General features: G+C 43.2%; 1 protein-coding gene across 1 annotated transcript, besides 1 other annotated feature; it reads right to left on the minus strand.

Moving 5' to 3' along the window:
* Positions 1-399: 399 nt before the first annotated feature.
* RPTN (repetin) lies at positions 400-6,033 on the minus strand. The gene is made up of 3 exons (NM_001122965.1): positions 5,989-6,033; positions 4,557-4,714; positions 400-3,765 (listed from the first exon to the last, which is right to left on the minus strand). Exons 2-3 carry the CDS (start codon positions 4,692-4,694, stop codon positions 1,549-1,551), a joined length of 2,355 nt encoding a protein of 784 aa, NP_001116437.1. The 5' UTR covers positions 4,695-4,714; positions 5,989-6,033; the 3' UTR covers positions 400-1,548.
* Positions 14,361-15,560: an enhancer, noted in NCBI's record as "P300/CBP strongly-dependent group 1 enhancer chr1:152140032-152141231 (GRCh37/hg19 assembly coordinates)". NCBI's record gives its function as "activates an origin of replication core promoter dependent on BRD2, BRD4, P300/CBP, MED14 and CDK7 cofactors, with strong dependence on P300/CBP, by STARR-seq in HCT116 cells {active_cell/tissue: HCT116}" and the evidence as "EXISTENCE:reporter gene assay evidence [ECO:0000049][PMID:35650434]".

Here is a 15,909-nt window from a genome sequence, read left to right on the forward strand (position 1 = left end):
TGTGCCACACTGAGGGATGTAAATTTTTTTCTCAAGTCACTGGGGAGCCACTGAGGAGAAGGGCCATTAAGGCAGTGGAGATGGAGACGTGAGAAGAGATTCAAAAGTTATGGGGATGTAGAGTTGGGAAGACTCAATGACAATTTGAATGTGGTGGTGAGGGAGTGGTAAAGGTAAAATATGACTCAGTAGAGGGAGGAGGAGCTGAAAATTATATTTAGATAAGTTTCATTTAGACTCTTTATTATTTGTTTTGTATTGATTCTTATTTTTTTTCAGTGCCCAGGAACTCAGGGAACAAAGACATTTTAGAAGTCAAGAAATAAGGTGTTATTTTTGGAAAATGGCTCAAAAGTGAAAATAGTACAACCCCACAGTGAAGAAAGGAGTCATGACAGTTATTGCTCATCAATTATTTATTAGATATTTTAATACAATTCATAATCTGCACATAGATTTTCTTGAGAAGAGTTTTCAGGTCTTAGGAGCTATGAATCAATAGTCTTGATCCCCTGGAATTTGCAAACATATGACATATACTTTCTCTTTATTTTATATAATCAGAAACTAGAAAGGTATTGAATTGGAATGGGTCCATTCAGCTCTAGTGATAGGCACTAATGGACAGTCCCTCTGGTGTGGAATAAGAGCCTGGCATGGGAGATGTAGTAAACATCAGAGATGCACTCTATGTTCTCGGCTCTTGTAGCAGCCTTGAACTGAGTTTCATTCTAGTCTAGACTATGAGGCTTGAAATTCCTGATGTTTTATCCACAGGAGCCAAAGCTCACCAAATCTAGGGTTCCTTGAGGAGTGGAGATGTAGTATAATCCTTGGATGTAATGTAAATCTTCAGAATATCTTTTCTGTTTCTGAACTTTAGGGAGAAGTGTTCTACCTTTCAATGATTCAACCAGGTCTCATCTACACAGAGGGCAAAGCAGGAAATGATTTAAATACCCAAACTGATCAACATTAAGATATGATTATTTCACCCAATTTACCACCTAGATTTCACTGAATCAGAAAACCCTAGAATTGCTGCTCAAAGAACCAAAAGCCCTTACGTGAATGCTAGTACTCAAAAACATCCTTGCAGGGAGATACAGCAGAGGATAGAGGGAAGAAATACATTCTCAATCTCTTAAATCGAATTAAAGGTGAACTCGACATATAGGTTTCTTTTTTGGCTTTGTGTTGCTTTACCTCTGGTGCTCACATAGCCTAGTATGGGTAGGATTTCTGCTCTTGCACATAGTCATAGGGGGGGTTGGGAACAGTAGCTCCCTTGGCAGGGTGACCACGCTGTTCTCTGGTTTGGGGCCTCCCACTGCTCTGGGTTGGATAGAAGGATGGTTCAGTGTGTCTTTTCTGTGAGCCTTGGCTCTGGTCATCCTCTTTCATGTGGAATTTTTCTCTGTTAGGACAGCTTCTGTGGGTCACTTGGGATTTTTGATTCTGAGATCCTTGATACCTCTCTTTCTCCTCATAGTTTTGTCTATTATGTTGTTGCTGATGGTTTTGATCCTCTTCATGAGTTTGCCTGTCTCATCTCTGATGGTTCTGCTCGTCTTCATGGGTTTGCCTGTCTCGTCTCTGACGGTTCTGCTTGTCTTCATGGGTTTGCCTGTCTCGTCTCTGATGGCTCTGCTCATGTTCATGGGTTTGTCTGTCTCGTCTCTGATGGTTCTGCTCATCTTTATGGGTTCGCCTGTCCTGTGTCCCACATGGACCTTCCTGACTCTCATGGCTGTGTCTATCCCAAGTTTGATGGCCCTGCTCTTCCTCTGCCCAGTGGCTCAGCCCCTCACCATGACTCTGCCTGGTCTGGGCCTGTCTGTGGCCCTGCTCACTACTGCATGATTGCCAGTCTCTCCCTTTGTGACAAAGTGGTCTTTCTTGTTGGATTTGTGCTAAGAGTTTGTGTTGGTGATGTTGGCTATCCTCTTCAGGCTCCCATACCTGGTGGCCGTTCTGCTGTGAGTCCCTAGACTGGAATCCCTGTCCCTGGTTTTGGTACCCTTCCTGTCCTGGAGTCTGTTGACTTAGCCTCCCTGATCTTCCTGATTGTTCAACATAAGAGGCTTTTCTTGTTCCTTCAGTCCCTTGGAAGTACTTATTTTGCCCTTGTATTTCCCCAGTCTGTGATTGAATATAGTGGGAACTCTGGCCTTGTCTGTCTGTCTGACCATAATGATAGCTCTGGCCTTGTCTGTCTGTCTGACCGTAGTGGGAACTCTGGCCTTGTCTGTCTGTCTGACCATAGTGGGAACTCTGGCCTTGTCTGTCCATCTGACTGTAGTGGGAACTCTGGCCTTGTCTGTCTGGCTGACCATAGTGGAAACTCTGGCCTTGTCTGTCTGTCTGACCATAGTGGGAACTTTGGCCTTGTCCGTCTGGCTGACCATAATGATAACTCTGGTCTTGTCTGTCTATCTTACCATAGTGGGAACTCTGGCCTTGTTTGTCTGGCTGACTGTAGTGGGAACTCTGGCCTTGTCTGTCTGTCTGACCATAGTGGGAACTCTGGCCTTGTCTGTCTGTCTGACCATAGTGGGAATTCTGGCCTTGTCTGTCTGGCTGACCATAGTGGGAACTCTGGCCTTGTCTGTCTGTCTGACCGTAGTGAGAACCCTGGCCTTGTCGGTCCATCTGACTGTAGTGGGAACTCTGGCCTTGTCTCTCTGTCTGACCATAGTGAGAACTTTGGTCTTGTCTGTCTGTCTGACCATAGTGAGAACTCTGATCTTGTGTGTCTGGCTGACCATAGTGGGAACTCTGACCTTGTCTGTTTGGTTGACTGTAGTGGGAACCCTGGCCTTGTCTGTTTGTCTGATCATAATGATAACACTGGCCTTTTCTGTCCATTTGACCATAGTGGGAACTCTGACCTTGTCTGTCTGGCTGACTGTAGTGGGAACTCTGGCCTTGTCTGTCCGTCTGACTGTAGTGGGAACTCTGGCCTTGTCTGTCTGTCTGACCATAATGATAACTCTGGTCTTGTCTGTCCGTCTGACCGTAGTGGGAACTCTGGCCTTGTCTGTCTGTCTGACCACAGCCTAATTCCTGACCTAGCCTCTCAGACTGTCCACAATAAGAGCCTGATTTCTGTTGATTTGTCTGGTTAAAGTGAGAGGCTTGTCCAAGTGTTTCAGATTGTTGTGTATGTCTTTCAGACTGACCATAATGAGAATCCTGAATTGGTTTTTCACACCGATTTAAGGCAAAGATATGTCCCTGCCATTTAGCCTGGCCACTGGTAGATTTGTGACTCACTTTTTTACCAGAGCTGGAGTCTTGACTTTGTCTCTCTGACTGATCAAAGCTGAAATCCTTGTCTTGTCTCTCAGACTGATTGTGGTGAGAATCTCTGTCTTGTCTCTCAGGCTGACTGTGGTGGGAATCTCTGTCTTGTTTCTCAGACTGACCATGGTGGGAATCTCTGTCTTGTCTCTCAGGCTGACCATGGTGGGAATCTCCGTCTTGTCTCTCAGGCTGACTGTGGTGGGAGTTCTGCCTTTCTTCCTCGTGCCTCTGTCTGTGTTGTCTGCCTGTGTTTCCTGGGAACTTACAGTCTTGTGCTCCTTCCTGCCCCCTTTCTTGCTGTGAGGTCCTGCCTCCATGTGACTTATTGTCTAGCTTATGATAGCAGGCTTGGACCAACTGGAACACCAACAAGAGGTACTCATGAAAATCAATATGTCCATCTCGGTCTTGATCTAAGAGGTTCAAGATGGTTTCCACAGTCTCTGGGTCATTTGGTCTCTGTTAGGAGATAAAACAAAGAGCAAAATCAGATGCTGTCTTGTGCATACTAAGATGTGTATCAGTGTTCATGCCCCAATCCATTCGGTGCTGCACGGACCTTCCTAGGTTGAAAAACCATTAATCTGAAGTGGTGTGGACTTGGCGCTAGTCTTTGATCAGCTGGTTCTCAGAACCTTGCTGGATCAATGGGAGCATGACCATAGGGAGTAGATACATTTATTTAAAATCATCTCCATTAGTAATTAATTTGATTCATTTCAAAGTTATCCCATTCCATCACAGGCTATATCCTAGTTGTTTAGCCCCTTTTGTTTTTCACTGCACTGTGAGATCCTAGAGGGAGGGGGAGCTGATTTTATTCATGTTTGTATCCCTTGTGCCTAGGGGCATAGAGCAGGTGCTCAGTGACTCTTTATTGGTTGAATGAATGAATACATGAAAAGATGTGTGGATAGCACTAAATGAATACATTAAAAGATGTGTGGATAGCACTAAATATAGAAATCAAAGTATGAATCTTAGGTTTTCTTCTGAGAAATTATTCCCTGTTACCTTGAAGTTATACTCTCTCCTGTTCAAATTCAGATACAAGGAGGTGTGTGTGTGTGTGTGTGTGTGTGTGTGTGTGTGTGTGTGTGTATGCTGGGAGAGAACTACTAAGGAGCTGCCTGAAATTCCTTTTCTTACAGGGCAGAGCAAGCCCAAATAAAACAAAGCATCCAACCCTGGTGCAGGTGTCAGAGTCATTCACACTTGATCTCATGGGGCTGTGTGTCTGTGTATCTTACCTGGAGGATGTCTCCAAACTCAGCCAAGAGCAGTTGTTTCAACTCTTCCTTGCATAGTAAGGCACAGTCCCCATTCCCTTTGGCATATTTGTGGAATACGTCAATCACACTGAGTATGCTATTCAGGAGTTGAGCCATTTTGACAAGTACGGGTGAACCTAAAAGAAGAAACAAGATTTCTCCTGCCGTTAGGATAATGACCACGAGACAGCATTTCCAGAGGGAAAGTGACCCCTCTGGATCTGGGAGAAAGTTTAAGAAGTGAGAGAGCCCCTTCTTAGCTGTACCCCTTCCTTGCCCTGACTCACAGTCGGGGACCAAATCTCATTGCTATAGTGGGAGATGGTGCAAACTTGGTTCCCTTGCTATAAAAAGAGACAATTTCTTAAAAAACAAAAAATGCATTGCAGGTGTTTTACATATCCCATCCTCTACTCCAGACAGGATTCACCTGATTGAAAATCTCATATTAGAACAAAAGGAGGGGAGGCCAGGAAGCCCAATAGAGGCAGGAATAGAAGCCAGCATAGTAGGGCATAATTTTCGACTAACAACTAGCAAACTGGAGGGGGCACTAAATAGATCCCACTGAACAGGTTTCAGTCTTGTAATGAGCCTTTCTTAAGCAAGGAAGAAGGCTGAAAGTCTCTCTTCACGGTCTAAGGAAGCTTTCTGGGAGGCTAAATTCCAGCAAATGCTTCTGGCCTGGATGGTTTTGGGACATGCTTATAAAATGAAATCAATGAATATAAAAGCTGTTACAGATAAAAATAGCAAGTGGGTACATAGCCAAATTAAGGGCACAGATTATAGGAGGTATATATAATCAGTTAGGTCCACATTGGCCATGCTGGGAGACTTGGGTCTTTTGGGATCTAAATCTCAATTACATTTTTTTTCTTGTGGAATGAAAATTCCAGTTAGTGGGTTTATAGGCCTCCAAACTGAAGCCCTATCTGCAGAGCATGTTGAATTGCCAAAAGCATACAAACAGTGATGTCTATAAGAAAATAAGTGACAAATAATGGATCACATGGGACAAGCTGAGTCCCTTGTTGTAATTCAATGCAATGAGACTTGAGCATTGCTGGGCCCATGGTCCAGAGCCTTGGCCCTAAACTATTCGGTCTTTCCTAACTTGCACAAAAAGTAAATGCTCCACTATGGGAGACTAAGCTATTCATCAATTGTTCTAGCCCTCAGTTTTGGGATGCCTAGGACACATTGAAGTGAAGGCATTTGCATTTTACAGACACAGAAGTAGTCCACCCCAGCTATTGTCATATTCTCAGATAGAGCCAGAAAAAGGAAGCAGAAGGTAACCAAAGCTGTTACCCACAGGAATTAAGTCTCAGACCTCCCCAGCCTGGTGCATTATAGGGCTCTTGAGAGCCTTGTAGATACTACCAATGCTCCCCTATGCATGTCTTACCTGCTTGAGGAGGAAGGAGCAGAAGATTCAGGAGTCAGAGAGGATACTGGGGACCTAAAAACTCATCCTATTTATAGGGGTTTTAATTATCCTACCAGGCCATCCCAGGAGACACCCATTCTGTGGCAAAGCCTGAATCACTCTGGTCCCAGCCCAGCTCAGCCCAGCTTGACCTCTCCCTCTGCAAACTGTTTGGTTTATTTACTTCCCCCACTTGCTCATGAACCTGTTTGTCACTACAGTAGGTGACGCTGTTTAAGTCCCAGTCCCATTTAATTAAGAGAATGTGTGTGTATGTGTATGTATTTGTGCTGTGAGGGTCCCAAAAGACAGAGGTGTTGGCTGAGTTCATCCTTAATATATGTCACTTGCCAATACTAATAGAGGGCAACAGTCAGCTCATACTGAAGAATGCTATCTATGTGGTCACTTACAAACATATGTCAAAGTTGGAACTAGAGATTCTATTTATTTGGCCAGAATATAGTTCCTGGAAGAGGTTTCTTTTAGACTAACCTTTTTCTTGTGCTGGTAGATATTTGGCTATTAACCTATTAACTTATTTTGAATTACTATTATTTTTTCATTTAACAGCTCCACAGGCTAGTTGGGAGAAGTAGATACATGGTCAGTTTTGGGGATGAGGGGCTCCAATGGTGCAACTTCTACCACTTAAGCCTTCTAAGACTTACTACTAAAAAGTTTGAATTGAGGGACATCATGGAAGTTTATGATATCTGTGAGAGAGAAATGCTGCTAGAGACCCCAGCTTCTGTTCACTTCCCATCTCCGTGCCCTTGGATGCCAGCACAGTGTCTTGAGCATGGGAAATTCTTAGTGAATATTTTTGGGGTAAAGGAATTATTGGATTATGGAAGCACTGAAGAATTGTATGTAAGGTGCAAAAAGCTGTAGACTCACCTGTATTTCTACGTTTGTCTCACATCTAGATCCCTGTTTGGACTTTTTCCTATGTATCCATCAGCCAATCCATTATTATTAATAACACTAACTATTACTTACTATGTGTTCAGGATTCTACAAGGGAATCACAACAGTGCAGAAAGATTTTAGTTTAGTTGGAATAAAGAAGCTTCACATAGAAAAATATTTTGAACTCCAGGGATAGGACATGCTAAGTGCTGAGTATTAGAAACCTAGGCGCATGTGGAGTCCTCATGGCTGGGCCTGGACGTCCCTTAGGAGGTGAGCTTCATGTTGTTCCTGAAAGGATTCAGGTGGGCAGAGAAGAAAGCAAAGAACTTCTGAGTGGGGAGAAGGGAAGAATCAAAGGTACTAAGGTGAGAGTTTGGATTCGAGTGAGCTGGTAAGTCTGTGTTGAGCAGAGGGATTTAAAAGAGCAGAGGGATTTAAAAGAGTAGACTTAGAAAATTTTGGAACTGAAAGGGAAATCTAGCCTCTTAATTTTACAGATGAGGAAACTGAGGTTCAGCTAGATTGACTGTATTTGCCAAGGGTTTCACGGGCTATGACTAAAGCCAGGCCTGGTTTACTTGTTTCCTCACTCCAGACCGATATGCTTTCTGAGACATTCTCTGAGGCAGATTTGGGGCCTACTTTAGGGTTTATTTTAATGAGAAAGCAGAAGTAGGGTTTTGGCTAGGAAAAGTGACATAATCAAAGCATTATTTAGAGGAAGAATCTAATGGCTCTGTTGTAGTTGGTCAGATGTCTCAGTTTGTCTGGCACTAAGGAGTTTCCCAGGACATGAGACTTTCAGTGGGATAATTCTGGGCAATCTGGACCGAGTTGGTCACCCTAAACTGTGGTGTACAAGATAAATTGGACAGAGGAGTACTGGGCAGTGAGACCAGTTAGGAGTCTATTATATGGCATGGGTGAGAAGTGACAAGGACTTCGACCTGGACGCAGTAGTTCAAAACTATAGGAAGGTAGATGGATAATAGCAGGGATAAAGGGATGAGGTCTGGGGACAGATTAGAAGAGGGGCAGGGAAAGTGGGAACATTAGGTGAGATTCCAAGTCTTTAAGTCTAGATAACTAGTAGAACTATGGTACACTGAAGAAATGTAACTTCTGAAGGGGGACTGCTGGGTCTAAGATCTAGTGCTTCTATTGGCATTTCCCAGGGTCTCTGCCTTTTGTAGTCTTGTTATCATCCCTCCAGCTTGCATCCTTGGCTGTTTGGGGTCTCCCAGCACAAGTCAGGACTTTCTTAAGTCTATTCATAAATTCTGAGGGCTGGGTCACATTAAGGTTCTCCTTATACTTTTGCATCTCTACTTAGTGCTCTTCAGTTATGTCTCTTCTCACCTGTTAGAATAAAAGACCTAGAGAAGATTTGGTTGTCCCCAGAGGCAAATAAGAGGAGTAGGGGTGGGATGGGCAGGGGTTGAAGACAATAGCCATCAGGAAACAGAACAACAATGCTGTGTCCCCTTTCTCTTGGCGTGTTCCATGGCTCTCTAGCAACTGTTTCTTTTGGTTAGACAGGCAGTTCTGTTTGTTTGATGTTGCAGTGAGAGAAAGATTATGTTCTTAAGAGTAGGATCCGCTATGTGTGCATTCATTTAACACTTAATACACTCCGATAGAATAGGCAGAGAACTATGTTGATCAGCCAATCAGTTAATCAATTAGTATTTGTGACCATACAGAGGGCGCCCTTTTGTGGGCACTGAGATAAAATGTAGTCTTTGTCCTTAAAGAACTTTCAATGCCACTGGGATTGAAATAAAACACCTTTGAAGGAATCATGAAATGTGACCTTTGTTTCTTTATCTGTAAAAGGAGAGGGTTGGAGCTTTATTTTGGTGTTGGCATTCTGAGATTCTGTCATGCCAATCTTAAGGTTAACAGTGGCTTTAGAGGTAATATTTAAACATTGCTCTATTCAGATATTCGATAAAGGCCTCAGAATTTGTGCTTCTCAGTCTTTCTCTGTGGAAAATGGAGAAGTCAATTATGGGTATCCTGTTTCTTCATTAACATTTATAAATTTCATGAGGACCTACACTATTTTAAAAAATTATTTTTCAGTGTGTTTTGCAGCTTAAATGCAGTCATGTTGTAGTGTGACCTTTGGTCTCAAAGGCAAGATGTTTTTAAGCTACAATTTATTGAAATCTTATTGTGTGCTAGGCTCTGCATTAAGCATTTTATATATATTATCTCCTTAAAAATAATTTCAATTTTTATTTCATATTCCATGGGTATATGTGAAGGTTTATTACATGGGTATACTGCTTGTCATTGAGCTTTGGGATATGAATAATCCCATTGCCCAGATAGTGAGCATAGCACCCAATAGTTTTTCAATCGTTTCTCCCCTTCTTCCCCCTTCTAGTAGTCCCCAGTGTCTATTGTTGTCATCATTATGTTCCAGAGTACCCAATGTTTAGCTCCCACTTATATGTGAGAATATGTGGTATTTGGTTTTCTGCTCCTGTACTGATTTGCTAGGATAATGGCCTCCAGCTGCATCTTATGCACCTGACAAAGGTCTAATATTCCAAATCTATAAACTTATTATCTTGTTTAATTCCCACAAAAACTCCATGAGGCAGAGAATATTGTCTTCATTTTTCAAACAAAGATACTGGGGCTCAGAAAAGGATAAATAACTTGCTCAAGGTCACACAACTTGCAACTGGCTGAGCTGAGGCTTGAACCCATGTCTTCCTGATTCCAAAGCCCTTGTTTGCAATCCCTATGTTATGTTGCCTCTTTTGGAACAGGACTGGTGATTACTCCCTCCCCAATGAGAGAAATAACTTTCCACATAGACTGAAGTGAGTAAGACCAGGGTAACTTCCTTATGACATACTGTGAAGGAATCTGACCTTGAAATGAGAATCTCCTGACCCTTAACCAGTCAAATATTTATTATTTTCTTATGCTTCTCCAGAACTTAGATGATTTCAACACTAAAGGACTTTGTAATCTATTTGGGGAGATAAGACAGATGCTTCTATTTACAGAAACAAAACCCACGGAGAAAAAAAATACCCTTCTCTCTTTACAATTGACAGCTCTGGGCACTGGTTTGACATGAGACTGAAGAAGTTCCACTTGTTGCACATTCCCTGCAGTTCTTGATCCTACTGTAAGCCTTTGCTGTCCATTTCTCTTAGGATGCAGATGTGCCTAGTGGGTGTGACAGGTACTGTTTTGAGCTAATAGAGTTTTCAGGGAGTCTCCTTGTCATATTTTGGCCAAATCATTAAGGATAATTATCATGAAACTCTCAGACTTCCTTTTTCCTTCTTTTGAGATGTTGGGTTTCTATTGAGATGAATCCTACAGGATCCAGAGGATGGCTATTTTATTATAAGGGAAGACCCCTGTGTAACGCTGGGGCAGGCACTTTTTTCTTGATTAGCCCTTTGGCATTAAGCAGGTGGATAAACTGCAGATGGGGCAAATGAACACCTTCCCCTGGAGAGGAGCACAACTAATTAATAGACATAAAACTCTTTGAGATCTCTTGATATTGAAAGGTAATTTATTATCAACTGCACAAATAAGTTCCCATTTAAAAATCTTTTCTTGTAGGTGAATTACTGCCCTGTTAATTATAGGCCATTTCGCTTTTAATAACATCTGTGGGAGTCAGTGGTTTCTGAAGGTGACGCTGATATCAGCGATATTTTTACTCCGTCAGAAAATGTGTTCTGAGCTGAAGGAAGGAAGCCTAGGTTTCCTGGGGATTGAGTGCACAGGTTTCAGCGTGGAGCTGTGCTCCCCCTCCCCAGCTTGCAGCCCAGCCTTTTCTTCTACTGTAGGCTTTTGTTTTTGGATACAAGAGCCAGCATTGCTCCTCTCCCCAACATCACAGGCCCTATCTTCCCCACGATAAAAGGAACTAGAAAATGTCAGAAATCACTGCTAACACAGCCCATGGAATTTTAGGTAATTCCTAGCACATGGTTAATAAGGCTACAGACCAAATCTGAGATCTTCAAAGTGGCTGACCATGGCAGAATTTGGATCATTCAGGTCAGGTTTCTGAGTTTCTTCTTTTACTTTTTGTTAAAGAGCTTTATTGAGATATAATTCACATACCATGCAATTCACCCATTTAAAGTGTACGATTCAATGTTATCTAGTATTGTTCAGCCATTGCCAAGATCCCCCTGTAAGAAATTCTGTCCCCATTAGCAGTAATCTGCCATTCTGCCCTCTTCCAGCCCCTGGCAGCCACTAATCTGTTTTCTGTCTCTATGGATTTACCTATTCTGGATATTTCATGCAAATGAAATCATATAATATGTGGCCTTTTTTTGGACTAGCTTATTTCACATAACATAATATTTTTAAGGTTCATATATGTTGAAGCAGGTTTTAGCACTTCTTTTCCTTTAAGTCTGAATAATAGTCCATTATAAGAATAGACAATGTGTCACATTTTGCTTATCCATTCATCCATTGGTGGCCATTTGGGCTGTTTCCTCCTTTTGGCTATTTGAATAATGCTGCTGTGAACATTCATGGACAACTTTTTGTGCGGATGTATGTTTTTAGTCCTCTGCAACTAGGCCATGCACCTAGGGGTGGAGTTGGGTCACATGGTAACTCCGTGTTTAACTTTTTGAGGAACTGCCAAACTGTTTTGAGTTTTTTTAAAAGAAATTTCTGGAGCAGGGTGGTTGGTTTAAAAGCCTTGACTTGAGGATACCAACAGGCTAAACCTGCCTGGCCAAGACACAGCTGGGCAGAGGCAAGGGCTGTGGAGTTGAACTGTGGCTCTGAATCTCCCAAAGGTCTTGCACAACCTTATGATCCAGCAGCTGCCAGAAAACCCACAGTAGTAGGCACCTGATAAAGGTTTGTTGACTAAAGGAATGCATATGTCTTGAGGTAAAGTGGGAGTGGAGGAAATGGGGTAGGGAAGATAGGTAAATAGCTTTGTAATCTGTGATGTTCCCATTGTATTTTAGGGATTCTTAGCAATTCCTTTGGGGTGCCATCAGTGTTTTCAGTTCTCTCACTGCCACCCCTCCCCTGGTCAATTCCATCAGGAAGGGAAGAGGTGAATTTAGGGATGATGGTATGTGGAAGCCAATGTTCAGGCATTTGCCTGTTCCCCTTTCAAGAACAGTCAGGTCTCCTGCTGATTTTCTTTGTAGCCCTTCCTGGCCTTTCCTCACCCTGGTGCACCAGAGATCCCTTGAATTGAGACTTGGAAGCCCTGGCTTCTCTCCAGGGCCCTGAATTCACTTTCAAGTGAACTTGGGAAAGACACTTCCACATTGTGACTTTATTTCCCCCCTTATCTATAAAATGAGGAAGAGGTTTGAAGTCACAGCTGGATGAACTGGATGACTTCCGCCTCTGAAAGTCTTTGTCTCCAGAGGTCTCTCGTGCTCTGAGATTCTGTAAAAACTTGTTTCATTTCTCTCTCCCCTCGTCATCTTTATTCCTGCCATCTCTCAGGAGAGGTCCTGGTTACTATTTGCTTGGACTTTTGTGTAAGTATCAATAGATCTTCCTGCCTCTAATCTTCCTTTCTAATTTATTTTCCACACTATTCTCAGAGGAATTCTCTCTTCTCAAGAAGGGTTATCGTGTCCTTTAAGAATAAAGGGTTATAATTTTCCATAAGAATCAAGCCCCAAAACTTTAACATGCTATTCAAGGCCTTCCATGGCAAGCAGATTTTTTTCAGTGATGTATTCTTCTTTCCAACCACACTGGACTTCTTGATGTTCTCTAAGTCAACCCTCCACTTCCTGTTTCTGTTTTTATTCACTTGGCTTCTTCTTCCTGGATCCTACTCTCCCTATCTTCTATCTAAATTCTAGCCATGTAAACACATCTAAATACTTACCTTTTCTATGAAAACACTTCTGAGTCTTCCTAGTCAGACTCTCCTCTTTCTTCCTGCATCCTCTGCAGTCATTTCATGGTGTTTATAATGCTCTATTTTGTATTCTTATAGATGGCTGGGTCTCTGCCTGTCCATCTCACTGGACTTGAGCTCTATTGTTAACAGTGGAGGGTGTCCAGGTTCTTGTCATCTTGAACAAAGAATTGGACAAAATGCACAAACAAAGCAAGGAAGGAACAAAGGGATTTATTGAAAATGAAAGAACACTCCATAGTGTGGAGCGGGCCTGAACATAGGGGCTCAAGGGCCCTGTTACAGATTTTTTGGGAGTTTAATAACCTCTACTTGGGGTACACCCTATGTAAATGAAGAGGATGAAGTAAAGTTACAAAGTCATTTACTTGGTGTATGCACTATGGAGAGAATATTTCCTCTCATAGCTGAAGTGGGAATCGGCCTTATGTTCCCTGCCTCCAGACCACATTTTTCTTCCTCACTATGAAGGAAAGATTTCTCCTCCTTTCTCTCTCTGTCTCCTATAAGCTCTCTTTGTCGTCCTCAAGGTAGGTGTTCTTTAAATGTGAGACTGACTGGCTCTCTCTAGCTCCAATGCCTGTGGTAGACTGAGATTCTAAAACATATAACTAGGCTTTTATTTCTTGTGGCTCTTTAGCACTCTCTGTTGTTGCCTATGTATAATTCTTGCCTCTGAATTAGATGACGAATTCTCTGAGGGAAGAGTCCTTGATTTCTCCTTCTGATTCTCCCATGAGCCCTGCCATAGTGCTGGGACCCCAGTAGGTGACTGAACTGGATGATGTTTCACCTCCACAAGTCCATGCCCCCTGAGCAGTATTCTTTTGGGATTTAGAACTTATTTGCAACTTGTTGGCTCTTGGAAATAAAAAAGAATAATGTGTGAAAATTCTAGAGCCTTACAGAGTATGGGGCAGGAAGATGGTGTTGGTAGATGAACCAGTGGTGGGCTGTGATAATTTCAGGAGGTTTGGGAGATGGCTGCTGGTATCTTGAAGAGTTTACATGCAGAAATAACAGAGGAACTGCTTTAGTTTCTCCAGAAATATCTGGATGCTAAAGTTTCCAGGCCAAACTGAGAGGTGGGACTTGAGGCACAGCCCAAGAGCCCCAGCTGTCACCAGCAGGGAAGCTGAATGTGGTCATGTGTACCGGGAGCAGCAGGCAAGTTGAAAGCAGTGATTGGTCAGAAGCAGATTCATCAGGGCTTCTAAAGATCATCTTGCCCTGCTTCTGACCCAGGTAGGTCAGTGCCCAGTCCATTCTTTGTAGGTGTCAATTCAAAGACTCCCCAGAGGAGCAGATGGCCCACTGTCCCCAAGAAGCTCATGCCTGTGTCTTATTCCCTTAGCTGTCAGGCATAGTAGGATGCCAGATCCAGGCATCTGGCAGGGATGAGAAAGCAGGCAGAGAGAGCAGGGAGAGAAAATCAGGTAATGCCAGGGAGCTTTCATGAGGGATTGAGTAAGGAAAGTAATCCTTCTGAGGTCTTTGCCAGTAAAGCACAGCGAGAGTAGTAGAGGCTACTAGGGGATGGTGTAAGGGCTTTGGTGGAGATTATCTGGGACTGGGGAGGGGTGCTGTCCCCAGTCCTCTGTGGTTTATTGCCTGGTCCCATAAGTGGGGGCAGTTGATGCTTGCATAATACACCTACTTGTCATGTCCACCTAGCAAAATCTTGGTGTAGTCAAGAAACAAGAAGATATGATCGAGGGGTTGGAAATCAAGTAAGAGTTTTCTCCACTGGTTGCCTAGTTCATTGATTCACTTATTCATTTATCTTCCTGACGAATGCTTAGTGAGGAAGATAGAACTGTTAACAGTCAAAAGGATTCTGGGAAGAGCTTATGGCAGAGCTGCAGCCACGTTGGAGTAAGAACAAAATTTCATCATCATCAATTCTTCTCACACAGTGGGACTAGCCCAGACAAGTGCTCTCTCTTCTGCTGCTCTTGCCCCTGATGCTTACACCACAGTGGCTTCACACCCTTCTGCATGCCTGAGCCATGACTTGGCTAAATTACCACACCACTTTGCCATGGGAATTCTGCCTAATCATCCTCCTTTAATCTTCAATCTCTTTATTGTGGTCACAAATGCTCCACATGGCCCCAGTCACCCTGCAGAAAAGAAATCATCAGCTTTCTGCAGCATCAGACTTAGCAGCATCTTCCTGTCCCAAGAGAAGAGGGGATGGGAGGATGGCATGGTTCAGGGCTTAGGGGAGGATAGGGGAGAAAAAGTGGAAGCAAAGGGAGAGGCCCAGGAAGGATTTTGTTGCGACATGTTACCTGGGCTGCACCTGCTGTATGCAAGAGAAGAGGCTGGGAGTCCCCTCTGCAGGGTGTTCATGCCCCATCTCTGTGCCACGAGGAGTTGGGCTGCTGAAGGTGAGTACAGGGAGGTTCCCTGTCATCTCAAACCTCTCAGGCTCCACAGTACTGTTTCAAGTATCCAGAGCTTTCCTGCCTTTGAAAAGCAAAAAGTTGTCTCAGGAGAGACAGTGTGATTTTTGCAAGGTCATGCAGGGTCACACAAGTTAATAGCAAAACTATAGTCAGAATTCAGACTTTCTAACACAAGCATATGACATGTATACTTGTCCCAGGACTCTATGTTCTATGTTTTCCTCTTGTCACATTTATGGATCCAGTCCAAGGCAGAGAGAACATGACTCTGAGGTCAGGCAGATCTGCAAGGGAATAGCAGTTCTTCTCAGGATTGTTGAAGAAATTAAATGAGCTCGAATATGTGAGTGCCTAGCCTAGTACCTGGCATGGGGGGTTATGCATTCAGTGTGTTGCTCTCCTTCCCTTCCAAGGTAGCCTGGCTGTTATCTCCTTTCTGGAAACTCATTGAGCATCAGAGATCTTGACCTCCTTGGGCACACTCCTGAGTTTATTTAGGCCTACATTTATAGGATGTGTCAGGAGCTCAAGTACTTTATGAACAGAGATTAATTGCTCTTATGATTTAATGCATTGGCCACCCACACTGGTGAGATGCTCCCTGAACTATGCTATTTGAGAAACAATGAAGGAACTTTGTGAGGCTAATAAGATTTGTGCTGTTAA

The sequence above is a fragment of the Homo sapiens genome, chromosome 1 (genome assembly GCF_000001405.40).
Source record: "Homo sapiens chromosome 1, GRCh38.p14 Primary Assembly".
NCBI classification, from domain to species: Eukaryota; Metazoa; Chordata; class Mammalia; order Primates; family Hominidae; genus Homo; species Homo sapiens.